This window comes from Homo sapiens, chromosome 8 (genome assembly GCF_000001405.40).
Source record: "Homo sapiens chromosome 8, GRCh38.p14 Primary Assembly".
Classification (NCBI taxonomy): domain Eukaryota; kingdom Metazoa; phylum Chordata; class Mammalia; order Primates; family Hominidae; genus Homo; species Homo sapiens.
The window spans coordinates 96,538,130-96,556,323 of NC_000008.11; the positions used below are offsets into that span (position 1 = coordinate 96,538,130).

The 18,194-nt window shown below is 39.4% G+C and overlaps 1 protein-coding gene and 1 long non-coding RNA gene across 4 annotated transcripts in view, besides 1 other annotated feature; both read left to right on the top strand.

Moving 5' to 3' along the window:
- The window catches only part of SDC2 (syndecan 2), a 117,978-nt gene that overhangs the window by 44,317 nt on the left and 55,467 nt on the right, over positions 1–18,194 (top strand). The gene's annotated exons all lie outside the window — the stretch shown is intronic.
- LOC124900253 (uncharacterized) lies at positions 58–17,364 on the top strand. The gene is made up of 2 exons (XR_007061018.1): positions 58–2,131; positions 3,785–17,364. It is a non-coding gene; the product is annotated as an uncharacterized LOC124900253 (long non-coding RNA).
- Positions 12,900–13,400: an enhancer, noted in NCBI's record as "H3K27ac hESC enhancer chr8:97563257-97563757 (GRCh37/hg19 assembly coordinates)". NCBI's record gives its function as "activates a minimal SCP1, AML or CMV promoter by ChIP-STARR-seq in primed H9 embryonic stem cells {active_cell/tissue: H9 hESC(primed)}" and the evidence as "EXISTENCE:reporter gene assay evidence [ECO:0000049][PMID:30033119]".

The window sequence follows — 18,194 nt, forward strand, 5'->3', positions numbered from 1 at the left end:
TTTTTTATTTTTAGTAGAGACGGGGTTTCACCATGTTGGTCAGGCTGGTCTTGAACTCCTGACCTTGTGATCCACCCTCCTTAGCCTCCCAAAGTTCTGGGATTACAGACGTGAGCCACTGCGCCCAGCCAAAGCTTGTGTTATATATTGGGCTTCCATTCCTGAAAGCTGGTTTTATACTATACAAATAACAAAGTCAATATGAAAATGTGTCAAAAATATGAATGTACCTCTTAAATACACATATTAACTATTTCAAACAAAAGTACTAAAGATAAAAAAAAGTTATACTGTAAATGTTACTTTCAGGGAATTTTTTTCTGCTGAGGTTGAGTTGACTGAAGCTTTTAAAGTCCAATGTTAAGTCTTTCTAAAGCATATAGAGGTATTTTTTTTTCCAGTGTTTCAAGGTCTTTTAAATTGTGTTAAAAAACAGAGTTATCTGCTTCCAATTCTATTGCATATGAAAAGTGTAGAAATGCTGGGAAGTTTGTTAATTGCTAAAAGTTGAAGGAGGGACAGTTTCCATGGCAACTTCTTCAGTAACCCATGCTCTGATATTTCAGAAGGATATTCTTTGCTGAGCTGTGAATGCAGTATTAAGAATTCAATCAAATCTTCAGAATGTGAAGAGCAATTGCTAAAGAAAATCATTAGCCCTGTGCACAGTTAGACCAAACAGCTGGCTGGGTCTGGGCTGTCCCGTATTGAGTCAGCCTTACCTGTCCACTAATCAAGGCGTTGCCTTCTGGACGTAGTCCTTGGTGAGTCTGCTAGCCGTCTGGTTTTGGTCATCCCTATGAAAGTCTTAGGAAAGGCAGTAACAGGTTGAGCTGTCTTTGATTGAGTTAGATTCATGACTGAATATCATTAGGGTGTATTCCTTTAATCTGTATGTGTTGGGAAATGATTTGTGTGTCTGAAGAAAGTAAGCAACATATAAATTTTGTCTAAAAGGCCGCATTTATGCTGTAATAATTTTCTCGTTTTTCTTTTAAATAAGGGGACAAACCAGGGCCTGACATTATCTTGTAATAACGAGTACTGAGCATAGAATTTTATGTGTCCATGTCTGTGCCTTCATGAATTGTCAGATTCTACAGACATGACCTGAAAGGGAGATCTTTTATCTCCCATGTTTTCAAAGATGAAACCCATCTACATGTGAATGAGATGATATAAAATTATTTTCTTCAAACATTTTTGGGTACTTACATTTTCTTACTGATCTTCTCGACTAGATTTTGTGCTTTGTAGGGTTGTGCACGTATAAAGTACTGAAGTATTTATGGATTTTATAATATGTTGACTCATTTTCTGGTTGAATTTATATTTTCAAAAATTATTAAATTATATTAAAGGAAGAGAAACAATCATCTTGCATTATTGCTAATAGTCAAGTAAACATCAATCTCTAAATGAGCGTGTTAAGTATAGTACATATTTGCTTGCCTAGCACTATGCCATAGGGATCAAAAGGAAATGTAGGAAATGATGCCTGCATCGTTTAAGTTGCCCAGTCTGATTTTATAACCTCTTATTCATAGTTGAAAAGCAATATGACGTGAATTTAATTAGGTTTTCACTTAACAAGGCAGTCTACTCCGTTTTTTTCATTCATTCTGTTTTCTCGTGTTAGATGGCATTTCTGATATTTATAGTCTTTGGTCATTCCCCTACCCAGGTTTTCCAATTTTATAAGGTGTCATTTCTGGAGCAAGGTATAATTTAACCCTTACCTACCCTTAGGACACCATATGATATAAATTAACTTATCCTGACTTCCATAACCACAGAAGGGAACCTGCTTGGAGGCAGGGTCTCACTGTCACCCAGGCTAGTTCTGACCAGTTAACTTGGTTGGGAAAATGGGGACATATTGACGGAAGAAATCCTTTTAAAACCAGTCAAGCCTCCAGTAAGTTTCAAGAAATAGGAAGAAAAATGTAGTGTTCATTACATGAATATGAAAATCATCTATGATTATGCCTTTCTGATGTCTGTTCAGAATCTCAAGGAGGGGAGAAGAAAGAAAAAAAAAAGCCCCCCCGCCCCGCCAGCTACAGCCTTGACAACTATCAGAATTGCACAGGAGGCCAGGCGTGTAATCCCAGTACTTTGGGAGGCCGAGGTGGGTGGATTGCTTGAGCTTGGGTGTTCAAGACCAGCTTGGGCAACATAGCAAAACCCTGTCTCTACTATATATATGTGTATATATATATATATAAAAATTAGTCGGGTGTGGCAGTGTTTGCCTGTGGTCCCAACTATTCAGAAGGCTGAGATGGGAGGATCGCTTGAGCCTGGGAGGTGGAGGTTGCAGTGAGCCAAGATCCGAGCTACTGCACTCCAACCTGGGTGACAGTGAGACCCCGCCTCCAAAAAAAAAAAAAATCTGTATGGTAACTTCAGTTGGGCCTGCCTCTGCTCACCCGCCCATCTTTAGGAAGCCAGTCTTAGAAAGACAGTGGCTGGCCAGAGGCCTCCCTCCCCAACACTCCTTTCCCCCAACACTCCTTTTTCAAACTTCTGTGGTTATGGAAGTCAGGATTTGAAAAGAGATTTAGCAATGTTTTTCTCATTCTGTAGTGGTTTTCTTTTTCCGGTTGAAGAGGCTATCCTCTTGGCCTTCATGAAGTAGGTTTTACCACAGCGTTGAAAGTGAAGTATTAAAATATAAGCTGATAAGAGCAAGGAAGTTTACCAGAAAAATTTCAGTTCACATAGGGCCAAGTAGGTTATTGAGTCGTGCATTCTTTTTGAGTGGTAGGAAATAGAAGAGAGCCTTGGAGAAGCATTTTCTTACCTGACTTTAGTTCATCTCTGTTTATCTAAGAAATTTCAAATATTCCAGTCTAAGAGATTTGAAATTCTGTCAAATTTAAGGAGACTGTCTTTCAGTCTCTGAAGTATAGTTATTTAATTGATTAAAAGGTATTATAGATAAACAAAAATATTTTTTATGGATATGTGTATACATACAGTGGAATATTATTCAGCCTTAAAGAAGGAAATTGTAGACTGGGCACGGTGGCTCACACCTATAATCCCAGCACTTTGGGAGGCTGAGGCAGGCAGATCACGAGGTCAAGAGATTGAGACCATCCTGGCCAACATGGTGAAACCCCATCTCTACCTAAATATGAAAATTAGCTGGGTGTGGTGGTGTGCGTCTGTAGTCCCAGCTACTCAGGAGGCTGTACCCCGTCTCTCCTAAAAATACAAAAATTAGCTGGACATGGCGGTGTGCACCTGTGTTCCCAGCTACTCAGGAGGCTGAGGCAGGAGAATCCCTTGAACCCGGGAGGCGGAGGTTGCAGTGAGCCGAGATCGCACCACAATACTCCAGCCCGGTGACAGAGCAAGCCCATCTCAAAAAAAAAAAAAAAAAAAAGAAGGAAATAATGCTACAACACGGATGAACTTTGAGGACGTTATACTAAGTGAAAGAAGCCAGCCAGAAACAGAAAGACAAATATTTCATGATTCCATTTATATGAGGTACCTAGAGTAGTCAAATTCATAGAGGCAGAAAGTACAATGGCGGCTGCCAGGGGCTGAGGGAGGGGGCAATAGGGAGTTAGTGTTTAATGGACACAGATTTTTAGTTTTTTGAGATGAAAAGAGTTCTGGAGATGAATGTGGTGATGATTGCAGAACAATGAGTATATTTAATGCAATTGAACTATAGGCTTAAAAATGGTTAAGAGGGCAAATTTTATTTTGTGTGTATTTTACCACAGTTTTTAAAAATGTTTATTGAGCACCTGTTCTTTGGTTCCAGTTGAGCTCCAATGACTGAAACAAAGGCCCTCAGCCTTGAGGGAGCTGACAGGTGAGTTAGAGGTGAGCATGTGATGCTGCTGGAATAGGGAACACAAGGTCATTGTCATGGATTAGGATGCTCTGGTCCTCAGTGCAGGTGAACTTGAACCTAGCCATGAAAAAGCACCAGAAATGGCTCTCTTTGTAATTTTCACTTCTCCCCAGCTTCCCCTCCCAATATGTAGTGCTGCCCCACTGCTGCATCCCAAAGCCAATGCCGTGGATCATTTTAACCGGCTGCTGCTTTAACTGGTTTGTCTTCTGCTCTTTTCCTAAATCCAGCTCTGCTCCTCCTCCTTGGTCTGCACTTGTAAGGCCTTTATTTGATGTGCATGTATCTCCCATTTTATAGCCCACATCATTTTTCATCTTGGACTATAAATTCAGAGAAGATGTGGGCTATGCACTTTGACCTTCACAGCACCCAGCACAGTAAACCATAATGAATGTTTTGGATGAGGATGAGGCTCTGAAGTTGGAAGCTGACATGGCTAATGCCTATTTAATTGAAGGTTATTAATGCCTCTTTAGCAGTGAAGGCTAGATAGTCTTCTGTTTACAGCAGAGAAGGAACAAGCCCTCAAGCTTTTTCCAGTGGTCTCAAAGAATTCTCTGTCAGGTGTTGCCCCAGTACACACTGACCTGAACTTAGCATCCCGGAGAATGAAAGGGACAGTTGGGGCAGTGGGGCAGCTTCCCCCCGAGAAGACAAGCGTCTTCTCCTCTGGGTTCATGGTTCCCAGGTGGGAATTCAGGGCGGGGGTAAGTCAGAATATTTATGTTCTAGTTCAGCTTATTAAATATGAGATTTTCCATCTCTTAGTGAATAGAGTTTGCCTTCTGTCCAGCATGATAGTTCTAAGTAGGGCGACCATATGTCCCAGTTTTAATACCTATTTGCCTGGATTAATTATTAATAGCTCCCCCTTTAAGAGTGCCCTGGTTTGGATGATAAATATTATTGCTATCCTTGTTACAAGGGGGAACATATAGAGAGGATAGTTATACAGGGGAAGGTGGGGAGAAAGAGGGAGGGGAACTTAGGCAGGCTGCTGGAGATTCAGAAGATAAGGAATGTGAGAAATAGCTGTGTAGTCAAACATTTAGATGTTTTTTGGATGGAAAAAATTATTTGGCTTTTAAATGATAAGCTAGTCTAATAAGTTAGGATTTGAAAGTCTTGATCAAAGGGAGATTTTATTTTATCAGTCATAGTATAGGATCTTTTAGTGCAGGTTAACAGGTTAATGTGTATACTCAGAGCTTCAGGTATTTTATGGCTAAAGACAAAAGACTTTAATGTACAAATATGTGTATATATCTCACATTTGTTTCTTTAACTATGAAAATGAACTTAGTCTGTTTAAAATCCTGTTTTTATTTGCATATGTATTTAACTTAGATAATGGTGTAATGGATATTCAATATTGATTAACCTTAGGTATGAGGAAAAGCCACATTGGTAATGAAGGAAATTAGGTAGGACCATATTAATTCCTTCATATTTGTTAAGGGAACATCATGTAATCTGAACAAAATAAGTGTTTTATAATCAGGTGTTATTTTGGAATTTTTATATTCAAAGTTTTTGTTTAAATCAGTTTGAGCTGGTTTTCGGTGAAGGAGTTGTATCAATATCACTTTAAATCAATGGAAAGTCTAAACATAGGGTGCTCTAGGGTTGCTCCATCAAGCAGCCCGGCAGTCTTAGCCGCATCCTGTGTCTTTCCATTTCTCTTTGGCGTCCCTGGTGTGTGCTTCAGCCTGAGCCAAATGCTCACCTTGCTCTGGGGAAGCCATCATATTTGAGTTTTTAAAAATCATAACAGTATGTGTATATGAGTGTGTATTATAAGTGCGTGTTCCTTGTGTACTTACAAATAAATTTATAATTTTTCAAAGTTATCTGGCGGTATTGCTTTACATTTTGAAAGAGCATTACAGTTTTAGAAATGACTATTTATGTCATTGGATCAGCAAACAATTTTACAGGATGCAGAAATTATCGATTGTATTCTGTATGTTAGTGACTTACTCGAGATGCTAGAGCTGTCAGAATGAACTTAGACTAAAACCCAGGTCTTCTGACTCTATGTCCATCACCCTACCCATGATATTGACTTGTAGATGTCTTGCCCAGTAAGTATATTTCAGAAAGAATTTTTCTTTTACAATTGCTTTTCTGTTTTGGTTTAATTTGATGTTGTCCTACAGTATTCCTTGTTAGGAAAAAAAAATAACCTCGGTGCCTTTGGGCTAATTGGATGTGTACTTACCTATCTGCAAAGTGTACTTACTGATGCAAAATTATCACCATCCTACCGGTATACCTTGATGGTGGTCTCAGTTCAAACATCCTTTTGACAACTCTGCCTCAGTTGCCGTCTCAGTACATTTGTACCATAGGAGCTTTTCTGTCTGTATTCTTTACCTCTTGTCCTTCCTGCTTGCTGACTGTCTTTTCTATTCTAACCTCCACTTAAAAGACTTATGCTCATCCTTCAAGAACTACCTGAAATGCTGCCGCCTCAATGATGTTTTCTCTGTTCGTTCTAGCGATCGCTCTTTTCTCTCTTGAGTTCCTGTAGTGCCTTGAATTTCTCTTCTGGCCCTTATCATACCCTGCTTTACACCACAGCCATTTGTCTTTATTATATTCCTCCCTACAAGATTGTGGTGAGCTTCTCAAGGGCACTGGCCATTTCTCATTCATCTTGGTGTCCCCACAGCACTTTGCACAGTGCCACATCCCTTGGAAACTCTGCAGTTCATTTTGTTTTAAATAAATGAATGGGTTTAGACATGGTTACACCCACTCATAAGATATGAGGTGATTGTAGATTTTTACAGCATATGGAGATTACAGAGAACCTTATATTGGTATAATTATCACCTGGTTTGTGCATAATTAAAAATGTAATTGTATATTTTTATGCAATAGGTTATCATGTACTGTTTTAAGTGTGTACAGTTTTTTATGGGCCTACCATTTAGTTAAATTGCATAGATGCTTTTTAGAATGCTACTGTGAAGAAGTGCAGAGTTGAGGTCGTTTTTAGAAGCTCAGTGAGTTGGCCCCTTTTGCTCTCTGTATTATCCTTTTAGGCTAAGCTGCAGCACAGCTGTCCCACCTGACTAGCTTTCCTCCTGTGGCTCTTATTGTCATTGCATTAGCTGAGAGAACAGGTTTTAAGATTTTTAACTCTTCTCTGCCTAGCCTAGGTTTCAGAAATATTTTAGAGGGTTTTTAGAAAGTCGAAATTCAGTGGATAAGACTTTTGATAGTTTTCAGGTTCTCTTTGTTTTATGTAACCTTCGGTTTTTAAAAATGTTTACATTTCACTCCATTTTCTTCTAATCCTGTAGATATGGGACTGGCCTAGGATCTGGCGTTTTAAATAATCTTTTCACTTCCCCTTCCCCCAACAAGGTAATTCTGATGTCAGGGAGACAGGGAAAAATTCACCTCGAGAAACACCATGACAGGTCAGTATTGGGGAATGAGGACTTGAGATTTGCCTTTCAAAATGAGTAAGGTTTAAGTGGATGGAGAGGAGATGATTTCCTTGTGGAGGTAAGAAATGGAGCAAAGTCTAAGGTGAGAATGAGCACGTAATATTAGGAGAGAAGGAGGGCAAGGAGGATGCTAACCAGCTTTCAGTGGAAGATTATTTTAGAGCAATGTTCTCAAACTGTGGGTACATTAGAAGTGTACCATGGGCTTGTTAAATAGCCACATTCCTGCCTTCCACCCCGACCCTGAAATTGCTTGTTTGGGCATTCTGTGGGCTTAGGGTGGTGGCCTGGGCGTCGGCATTTCTAACAGACATCCAGCTGAACTTGGTGTGATGGAATCCCTGCTTTATGGAATAAAAGAGGGTCTGCTGACAAGGCAGCAGGGACTGCATTTTGGCAGTCCTTACTGTGTTAGATGAGGTTTCGGAGTTAAGATGGGGACACTAGAACTCTAGCTGGGAAATCAGGTGCAGGGATGCTGCATAATCCCCTGAGGTGATGCGTGCAGCGAGGCAACAGCAGTCAGGCTCTACAGGGTAGAATTTATTCTCAGAAGAAGGTATAGACCGCTGACAAAGGAGTTCACTCCTCTGTAAACTGTTAAGGAATTGCAAAGAAATTTTCCATTTGTAATCTGCTGACATATTTTAGAAAGGTAGCCTCCTTAATCCACCCCTCTAAAGACCTGATGGTGGTCCCTCACAGGTATCCAAAGTAGCCTTAAATCAGAGACTGGTCTAGTTGGAGGATGTGACTTGGAATCTATGAACCCTGGATGTACTTGAGGGCAACTCACTTGAAACTTTGGAATTTCATGTGGATGCATGTTTTCTGGAGAGAGGTCCTAGAGTCTTGACCATATTCTCAGACATGCCCTTACTTGGATTTAGGATAAGATGATTTAGTACTTGGCTCATTGGGTGGCTGGCTTTCTCTCTCCTCTCTTTTTTAAAAACCCAGAACAAATTCCTATTAGTGAAAAAGAAACAATAGCTTGAAGAACAAAGAAGGCCCCAGACCATAAGATAGAATGATAGAAGAGCCCTAGATTTTCCAACAGATGACCCTCCCTTTATTTTTGCTTGGGTGGGTGTGCCATTATTAATAATAAGCCAGGGGAATAGGGGATTGAGAAGCTCTTCGTAGAATGTGTAATGAATTTTTCTGTTCCTTGTGGAGCAGTTTCAGTGGTTTCAGCTGAAGTACACAGAGAGGGCTATGTTAACAGTAAGGAGGTGAATTACTAGTTATTGCTATCAAGTTTGGAGCTGGGGAGAAAGCGGGTGTATGAAACAGGACCATGTGTGAATGGATTTCTCAAGTGTTTCATTAAAGATCCGTCAGAACGGTTAGCACTCTAACCATGCTTCAGTCTCTGGCTTCTGATTCCTTTGTGGAATTAAAAATGCTTTTGGGAAGAGGGGCTAAACAAGCCTTTTGTCTGAATTTCCATGTATTGATTAATGGACCCAGCAGAGCATCCTGCTGTGAATTCTGTCTGCTGATGGTAACTCTTACAATGAGCAAAGCTTTTCTGAACTGGCATTTTCCACTCAGCCTGTAGGCTGCTGTATTGGGTGTGACAATTTTTTAAAAGCCATCATGCTAGAATGAAAATGAGCCATTTCTAAATGGCCTATTGATTTGCAAAACCTTTTTGTGTTGGATTGAATGGTTTCATATCTCAGCTGAGGGAAAAAGATGCAGGCTATTTTTAATTTATTGTTATTTTATCTTAAAGATTTGAGTTGACAACGTTTTGGTCATGATGTTTACCTACTGTTGAAAGGTCTACTTGCATGTCATGACTTGATAATAAATGTAAAACTCTGGTTCATTAGCTTACACTATAAAAGAGTTCTACAGCTCCACTTACAGTGTGAGCCACAGTCAGTAAATATGGATCCAGAAGTCCTAATTATGACTCAAGCTCACCCATAAACTTGGGGACCACCTTCGCACCAACGCTGTCCACTGGGCTATTTATGGAAGAAGCCACTAGGAACTGTTAGGCGGCTCCATGTGTCTGGCTAACAGGGTCTTTATTCATTCACCTCATCACGGTATTCAGTCTTGATGCTAGTGTGCACGCTTCCTAAGAATTACAGATGGGAATAAAAGGTGTCTGGGTATACCTGGGGAGTATATGTTTTTGCCTGCTGATATAGGATACTAGGGTAGCTTGTATGCAAAAGCATGAGCGTCTAGGTTTAAAGGATTCTTTTTGTTAATATCTGAGTTGACTTGGTATGGATCCTTGTTTGATTTTTTTTTTTTTAAATTTTTATGTATGTATGTATTTGCTTTTGAGACAGGGTCTTGCTCTGTTGCCCAGGCTGGCATGCAGTGGCATGATCACAGTTCACTGCAGCCTCGACCTCCTGCTGCTCAAGTGATCCTCCCACCTGAGCCTCCCAAGTAGCTGGAACTACAGGCGCACACCACCACACCTGGCTAATTTTGTTTAATTTTTTGTAGAGATGGTTTTGCTATGTTGCCCAGGCTGGTCTCAAACTCCTGGGCTCAGGCCATCCTGCCTGCCTCAGCTTTCCAAAGTGCTGGGATTACAGGCGTGAGCCACCACGCCAAGTCCTTGATTGATTTTCTTAACCCCTTGATGGCAGCTTTTGTAGATGTTTCTTACTTCCAACAATAATAATAATGATAAATAATAAACATAGTTGAAATATCTACTATTTGCTAGGTGGAGCAATTTCAGTGGTCTCAACTGAAGTAGCTGATTTTTGTAAAATGCAGAAATTAAAATCAAAATGAAAAACAGGATGGTTTTCCCAGCCTCTCTGTACAATTTTGATTAGGGTACAGTTACAGGTTGGGCATCCCAAACCCAAAAATCTGAAATGCTCCAAAATTCAAAACTTCTTGAGCACTGACATAATGCACAAAGGAAATGCTCACGGGAGCATTTTGGATCTCAGATTTTCAGATTTGGGATTCTCAACTGGTAAGAATAATGCATACATTTCAAAATGTTTCCCCAGACATGAAGGGTCAAAGAGAAAGTTCATTCTAAGAGTCACAGATGCTTTTTGCTGCAGATAGATGATATGATTCATCTTGACAGAGGGATTCTTCTCTAATCTGCAGACAGGAGTGAGCAAAGTGCCACCTTTTCACTTGTTTTAAACCTGTACTTTACTCCAACACTTCAGTATCTCCTTTTTCTCTTCTTGAAGTGGCATGAATCTTAGGGAAAGGTGAGGAGCTCCTAGAAGTAGCTGTCACCAGAAACGGGCCAATGAACTTCCTGGTCCAAGTCTTCTGTTTAAACTCCCAGTTTTAACATTGAGCGTCTGCTTTGCAATGAACATGAAACAAGGAATTTGCAGCATTGAGGGTCGTACGCTTCACTGACTTGAGGTCAGTGTTGCTGGTAAGTAGGCCTATGGCAGTGAAAAAGCTTTGACCCCAATTCCGTGGGGGACAGAACTTCCTAGAGCATTCTAGAAAACAGGGTACACGTGGAGTAGATGCCATATTCAGTGCGATTTTGCAGCATAATGTTGTGTTGTGGAAACTTCCCTCTTACCACTGTGCCCCAGTAAATTGAACTCGAAGGTGCCTCTGTACCTTTTGTCTCTTGTATAGGAAATTATATCTGTCAGAAACATTTCTTAGGTAATCTGAGTATAGGAATCTAAAAACTGAGTACTCTTGTACTAAAATGAGACACCAGTTTCTCAGGAAAACTTAAGGAAAGCATGTTATTTAAAAACAATTTTGAATATTTCTAAACTTTCTCCTTTGCATTTTTTTCTCCAACCAGAGGCCTTGGCTTAGATAAAATAAACTAATAAAATCTTTTTTTCTTTTCTTGTTTCCTGTTGTTGAATGACAACCTCCCTGAGCAGCCTGGTGGCTTGGAGGCTCTGATGTGAAGTATAGAATAGGTGGAGGGCGAATAACAAAAGCCTTATCATGTAGATAGCCCTGAAATGGGACCACAGTCTTTATCTTTGAGAACTGTCCAGTGACTGCTGCAAACTGGGCAGCTCTTTTGGAAATGAGCAGTCTCTGATACAGCTGGTAGGTAGAACCAATTTGGCCCCTAATAGGCTAACTGGAGCCAGTAGTTTAAGGGGGTGATTATTAATTTGCCTTGTGTTTGTCTTCATTTAGAGTAAGTTCATCAGGCTATGTTTTCATGGTACCTTGCATCAAGGAAAATGTGGTTCTGTAAGTCTTCATATCAGTTTCTCTTCGAGAGTAGGAGTAATAATGCATATATGTTTGCATATTTCCAAATGCCTTTGTTTAGGGACTCAATAAGTATTTACTATTAAATTTGATTTTTTAGTTGAATAAACATGTTTTAAACAAAAATTATTTCCTAATTTTGACTCAGAGCCTAGAAACTGTTATAATGTGTGGCATATACACTTCTTTTTTGGCTAAGAGTAGAGTTAGAATCTACTTTCTAATTCATCCATTTTGAACGTTGAACCTGAAATCCAGCTCATCTTTAAGATTGTTGTATCTGCTAGGTTTGGAATTTTAAACTTGGAATTTTGGGGTCTCCTTGGTGGTGTATAGTACTTCCAGATATAGACAGCATAGATGGGTCTCTTAGCTCATCTGAAAATGGGAGCTCAAAATTTTTTCAAAGATCTCATATTTACAAATGAATAAGTATAATGTAAAATGCAAAAATGAAAATCAAAATGAAAACAGGGTGGTTTTCCTAGCCTCTCACTAGGATTTTGATTAAAATACAGTTACAGGTTGGGGTTCCAAAAATCCAAAAATCTGAAATGCTCCAGAATTCAAAACTTTTTGAGCACTGACGTGACACACAAAGAAATGCTCACGGGAGCATTTTGGGTCTTGGATTTTCAGATTTGAGATTCTCAGCTGGTGAGGATAATGCAAATATTGGAAAATGTGAAAAAATATGAAATCCAACACACTTCTTGTCCAAAGCATTTTGGATAAGGGACACTCAACCCGTTTAATCCAAGCACTTGGTGGAGAATGTTGACAGTCACTTTCAGAGGTAGACAAATTCCACTGGCAAGTTTAATGACTGATGGTATTATTATTGTTAACTCACACTTGTGTCAAAGGTGCTTGTGACATAGGGAGTTTTGCTCTCTCCAGCATGTCCATTGACTTGAGCTGGTTCCCGCTCAACACACAGACCTCAGGGCCCTGGGGAAATAACTTAGGCAGCCCAAACAAGACCCCTGACCTCTGCTGTATAGGCAGATTTCATTAGCAAATCAGAAATGTTCTATTTAAAGTATATTACAGTGATTCATTGTAGATTAACTCACAAATCAAGACAGACCAGTGCCCTTTTGTGATTATTTTTCATCAGCCTCAGGAGCCTCTAGAAGCCTCCTGTGGAGGTCTCACGCATGGGGTGACAGGAGTCAAAGTGCTTCCTGCTGATGGGTGTCCTGATTTTTTTCTAGGTCTAATAGTATCAGCTGTGGGTTCCTTCCTGTAGTCTTTGTGATCATCTGACTGGCAAGGTCTCCAGGTATCCACAGCTCACAAGTTACTATTGGCGAGGGCTTGGAACTTGCCTCCTGCCCAGCCAGTGATAGCATGTTCATGCAAGTCCCCACTGGCCAGCAGGGCTGCTGGAATAGTAGATGGCTCTCCCTGGGGAGTTCTGCCTGGTTCAAGCATCATTACCGTGGGGAGGATTTCTTTGACCCACACCTAGTCTAGGCAGGTGGTGCAAGTGCAGAGACACCTGTCACAGCCTTGCTGTGGGTTGCATCACATTCCTCCTAAAAGCTCCAAGAAGTTCACTTCTCACTCACTAAGTGGGATTGAGAGAAAACCTGCCTGTAGTTACAATTTTCCTAATCGAAACTCACCTCTTTTCAGTAGGACAGTACAAAACAGGCTACTTTCTCAGTAAATAATTACTAATAACTAACACTGATATACTGCCTGTTTACTATGTGCCAAGTACCTATTCCAAGCATTCTGTGTATTTTAAGTCATTGAATCCTCCCAGCAATCTCATGAGACAGGTATACTATTATTAGCCCTAGTTTACAGGCGAAGAAACCGGAGACAGAGCAGTTCAGTAACTTGTCCAAGGTCTCCAGTCCAGTGGAACCTGGAATAACTCATCCAGCTCCAAGGCCCACCTCCTCACCTGTCATGCCTCTCATCACCAAATGCAAGCTAGTTTCAGGGTGGTTAATTTTGGAGCTGATGAGCTTTACAGGTGATTGAATTTAATCATTTATGAGAGTAGGCAGGTAGGATATGCCAAGAAAGAGATCTTACTCAGTAAGTTTGGCAGGCCTCCATATTTTGGGCCTTTCTTTGCTTCCCCCTGTGATCCCAATGAACTTGGGTACCAAGTCTTCTTGTTCCCATTACCCTTTTCTTGGAATAGATTTTCTCAGATAATCTCCATCTTTCTCCCAATCTCCTCTTCCTTCTTCCTTTTTCTTAAACAGGATGAGCCTGTTTACTGCTGGGGGCAGGGTATGTATCCCCATGAGTCAGGGGCTTGATTGGTAGGGGAGGTGAGTGTTCATGCTGCGTCCCTAGACATCTTGAATGTCCCCCAATTTGAGCAAGTAACACATCACTTAGTTCTGCAACAGAACCAGCCACACATTGGTGTGTGTTTGGCTTGCCTCTGATTTGATGTTGCTCTTTTCTCACGAGGCTTGGACAAAACTCCTGCTTTACTCAAATCTTGTTTGAGTTAATATCTCAGCCTCCAGGTGAAATGAGGAATGAAATACAGATTTTAGTATCTAATATAAAACCATAACTTGTTTTTACTCTGAGCTCCATCTTGGGACTATATTCTATCCAGAGGCCCTGAGGAACTTCTCTCCCTCCTTTGTTTTGATTTATTAAAGTTCTTGAATTATATCCCATGTTATTGATCTCAGCAAATGTGGGTTTCAAAATTGAGAGAGAAGTAAATCGTGCTGTGTTGTTACTGTGCGTTTGGCTGAATTCTGTTCAACCTCTAAAGGAAAGGAAATATATCATGCTGCAGTCTTTTAACATAAAATCAGTTTACACTTTGCCATTCTAAAAAATTGATCAGTTCAATACATTTGATAAGTGCCGCAAGTAAGGATTTACTCTGATTCAGTATCATTGTCAAGTCCTAAATTTTACTTAAATTTTTTTAACTTACAAGCTGTCTTCCTCTAAATTTAGGATGGAAGGGGACAAAGAAGTTTTTAGATTTTTGTCACTGATTTATAGCATGTAATTAAGGTCATTTTGTACTATTTTGAAGCTCCATTTTGTTTCTTGGTTATGTTGTTCTTAGAAGGAATACTTTAAAATTGTTGAGTGTATTTAGTTAATGTTTCATATAAAATGGTATCTACTTCCCCTCCCCCAGGTTAGGAGACTCTGAATGATGAAATTCCTCTGAATTATCTTGAAGTATCTTCTTAGAAAGTAATGTTTCTCCAATTCATTAAGCTACTAAGAGTTTTCTGGTATTGAATGAAAAAGAATTGTAGGTATTTCAGGAATTCCTGAATAGCTGTTTTATAACCAGACTGATGAAAAGAAAGCCATTTTAGATGTGGGGTTGTATGTAATAAAAGTTTCAAATTTTAAAAATAACACAGAAATCTGACATTTATTTTAGAAAGTGCCTTTTTTACATTGAGGGAGAAATTACCGAAAGGCATAAAATAAGTTTTATCTGATAAATATTTAAAATAGAAATGTGTCTGTGAGGTATAACTTTTTAAAAGACTCAACCCCCACAAACCAGTATTTCTGTTGATATTAATTTTAGAAAAGATTAATTACAAGTATTCAATTTTGATGCTGATCTATAAAATATATATTCTAATTATGCAGGCTCTATGTGAAAATGCATTCTTATTGGATTTTAATATTGTTTTATTTTGATTTTAAAAATAATTTTGAAGATACCTACAGCATATTGTAAGTATAAATGGCTCAGAAGTTAATACATTTTAAGATACATTTTCAGAAAATTACAGGTTTTTTTTTTTTTTCTTTTAAGTCCACAACTAAGTTTGATTGCTTTAATATCTTCCTCTTAGGAAGAGATAAGGGTAATGGGAAGTTGTAGAGATAAGCTAAACTTATACCAACACTAGTTTGAGAGCCATTCGATTTTTTTTTTCTTGCTATTTTTTGGCAACAAGAACCGCACACACCAGTAGCAGAGTAGATAATACAACCATTTATCAACCTTAAAGAACCACAAGTGTTATTCTTTATGCTTTATTACTTTGCTTCAGAATATTGCCTTTAGACTGTGAAATTGTACCCCTGTTTATTTACGATTTTTATTTAAAGATTTTTTTTTTTGTTTTGGAGACAGGATCTCACTCCAGTTGCCCAGGCTGGAGTACACTGGCACAATCTCGGCTCACTGCAGCCTTTACCTCCTGGGCTCAGGTGATTCTCCCACCTCAGCCTCCCAAGTAACTGGGACTTTAGGCATGCCATGCCCAACCAGTTTTTTTGTTGTTTGCTTTTTGTTTTGGTATTTTTAGTAGAGACGGGGTTTCACCATGTTGCCCAGGCTAGTCTTGAACTCCTGGAATCAAACAATCTGCCTTGCTTCAGCCTCCCAAAGTGTTGGGGTTACAGGTGTGAGCTACTGTACCCGGCCTAATTTTATATAAAGATTCTTAATCTGTCTGTCTGGTTTGGACTTAAGCTCTCTGTATAATAAAGTAATTGATAAGATGATATGCAGTTCTGGATTTATGCCAGATACATGTTTTATAAGAAATTTTACATGGTAATTACTTAAAATATAAGATTCTGGTGTATTGAAATACGTATTTGAGTAGCCTGCCATTTTAAAGTTATAATGCAAGTTAACTTCTAAATTTTAATAAAATTTTGAGTTTTGTGAATACCGTTTTCTTCAGCAAAGCTCAAGTATTAGGCTATTCGTGTAAAACTATTATATCTTTGGGCACATGTTTCTTAATATGATTTTAAAAGGAAAAAAAGTAGGTTTTAAGCAGGTCATGGTTTATGTTCCAGCATTTAGTTAAAAAAAAAAGACCTCTAATCTTATAATGCTGTTAATTTGCTGAACACTTTATCTTTGCAGATCAATTTCACATACTTTTATCTGGTTCATTTTTCACAGCCTTGCTCCGAGTGAGGTGTTCTTATCATCAGTTGACAATGATGGGACAGAGATGGCTCAAGGATGTTGGGCACCCAGGGGTGGTTGAACTGGCAGTTACGACTTGATCCAGGTTATCTGATTTGGGATCCAGTCTGCTTTCTCCTAGGTCACAGAAGCCTTTTGATTTTGTTTTTCTTCTTTTTTAATGTTAAGACAGGTAACTGACTAGGGCTGCAGGTCTGGCGGCTGCTTGTTTTGGGTTGGTCTTCAAACCCTGTTGTTCCCTGACATCCTGCCTTCAGCACAGGTTGCTGTACAGCTTTTCCTGTGGGCCCAGCTCCTCCCTCCAGGGGCCTTTCTTTGCAGAAGCTGCTCTTTCTGCCTGGAACTCTGTTCCCTTTCCTTGTTTCTCTTCCTTTCCTTCTTCGAATTTAAGCCTAATTACCCTCCACGTCAGCGCTTCCTCCCACCTTCCCCACTGTATACTCTCCAAACTCCATCCACTTCCCTCTGCTTGGAACTCTTTTTCTGCAGTGTATTTTTGTGGCACTTGAGTGGCTTTGTCCTTAGACTAAGTTCTGGGAGGATGGGATCTTTTGCCAGTTTTTTACCCATTGTATTCTCAGCCTTAGCAGGATGCCTCATACTTAAGAGGTACCCACATATTTAGGTGGATGGATGGATGGATGAAAGAATGAATAATGCCGATTCTTTCATTATATGGACTTTGTTTCCTTTCTTAGACCATTGGAATCAGCTGATCGTCTAGCACTTGGCTAGATTTGAACAAATTAGGAATCCTATGTTCTGTTTAGTTCCAACTCCAATCAATTAACCAATATTTATTGAGTGAGAGGCAGAATGTGAAGCGCTGTATCTCTGTTGTCTTCTCTGTTTCTCTCTCTTAGCATTTTTTCATGTTTACAGAGCATCAAGCATGATTCAAGTAGTTGCTGGAAGCCGCCAGGTCAAAGTGTGCAGAGAACAAATACCAGTATGAGGGGAGCTACATAAACATATGCACACATATTAAACATAAGCTATGTCATCTGTAGAATTTAATAAACTAGGCTAGATTTAAAATCTTTCCCTTTGATGTGTAATACGTCATGGTTTTGAACATTTTCAGAAAATGGGGCCACTTCTCAGTTACTCCAGATAAAACTTACTCTTCAAATATGACAGCATTTTCTTCACCAATGTATTTTCTTCACTCATTTTTCAAAATCCCTTTATTGACCCTGGGTGCCAGATGAGTGCAAGTTGGGGCACCCATACAAACCCACATTTTAAACTTCTTTGTTTGTTTCAGGGAAGGTTTGAAATAGTGTAAATTTTCTCTTAGTCCAAGAATAGGCTATTTCCAGCCTGAGCTATAGTACCTTGTTAAACTCAGTGAAAGCTACACCTTTCAACTTCGTAAGCTTGGTTGCCAAAATGTAGTTCGTTTGGAATGAATTATTAGAATATCACACACACACACACACACACATACACACACACACACACACATTCAAATGTGATTATCTACTGGAAAGTCAGTAGATAAATCAGTTGACTAGAAAGTTTATGGTTTGGATTATTTTTGTAATGTTATTTCATATTTCCCACCCTTATATTCCCCTCTTTGGGAATGATAATTTGAGAAGTTAGCTATGTATTAGCCTTAGTAAGAAACTGTATTATGTTTATCAGAGAATGAAACGAAACAAATTATTCCTCCTCTTTTAGCTACTCCCCTCCCCCGCCCCACACACTT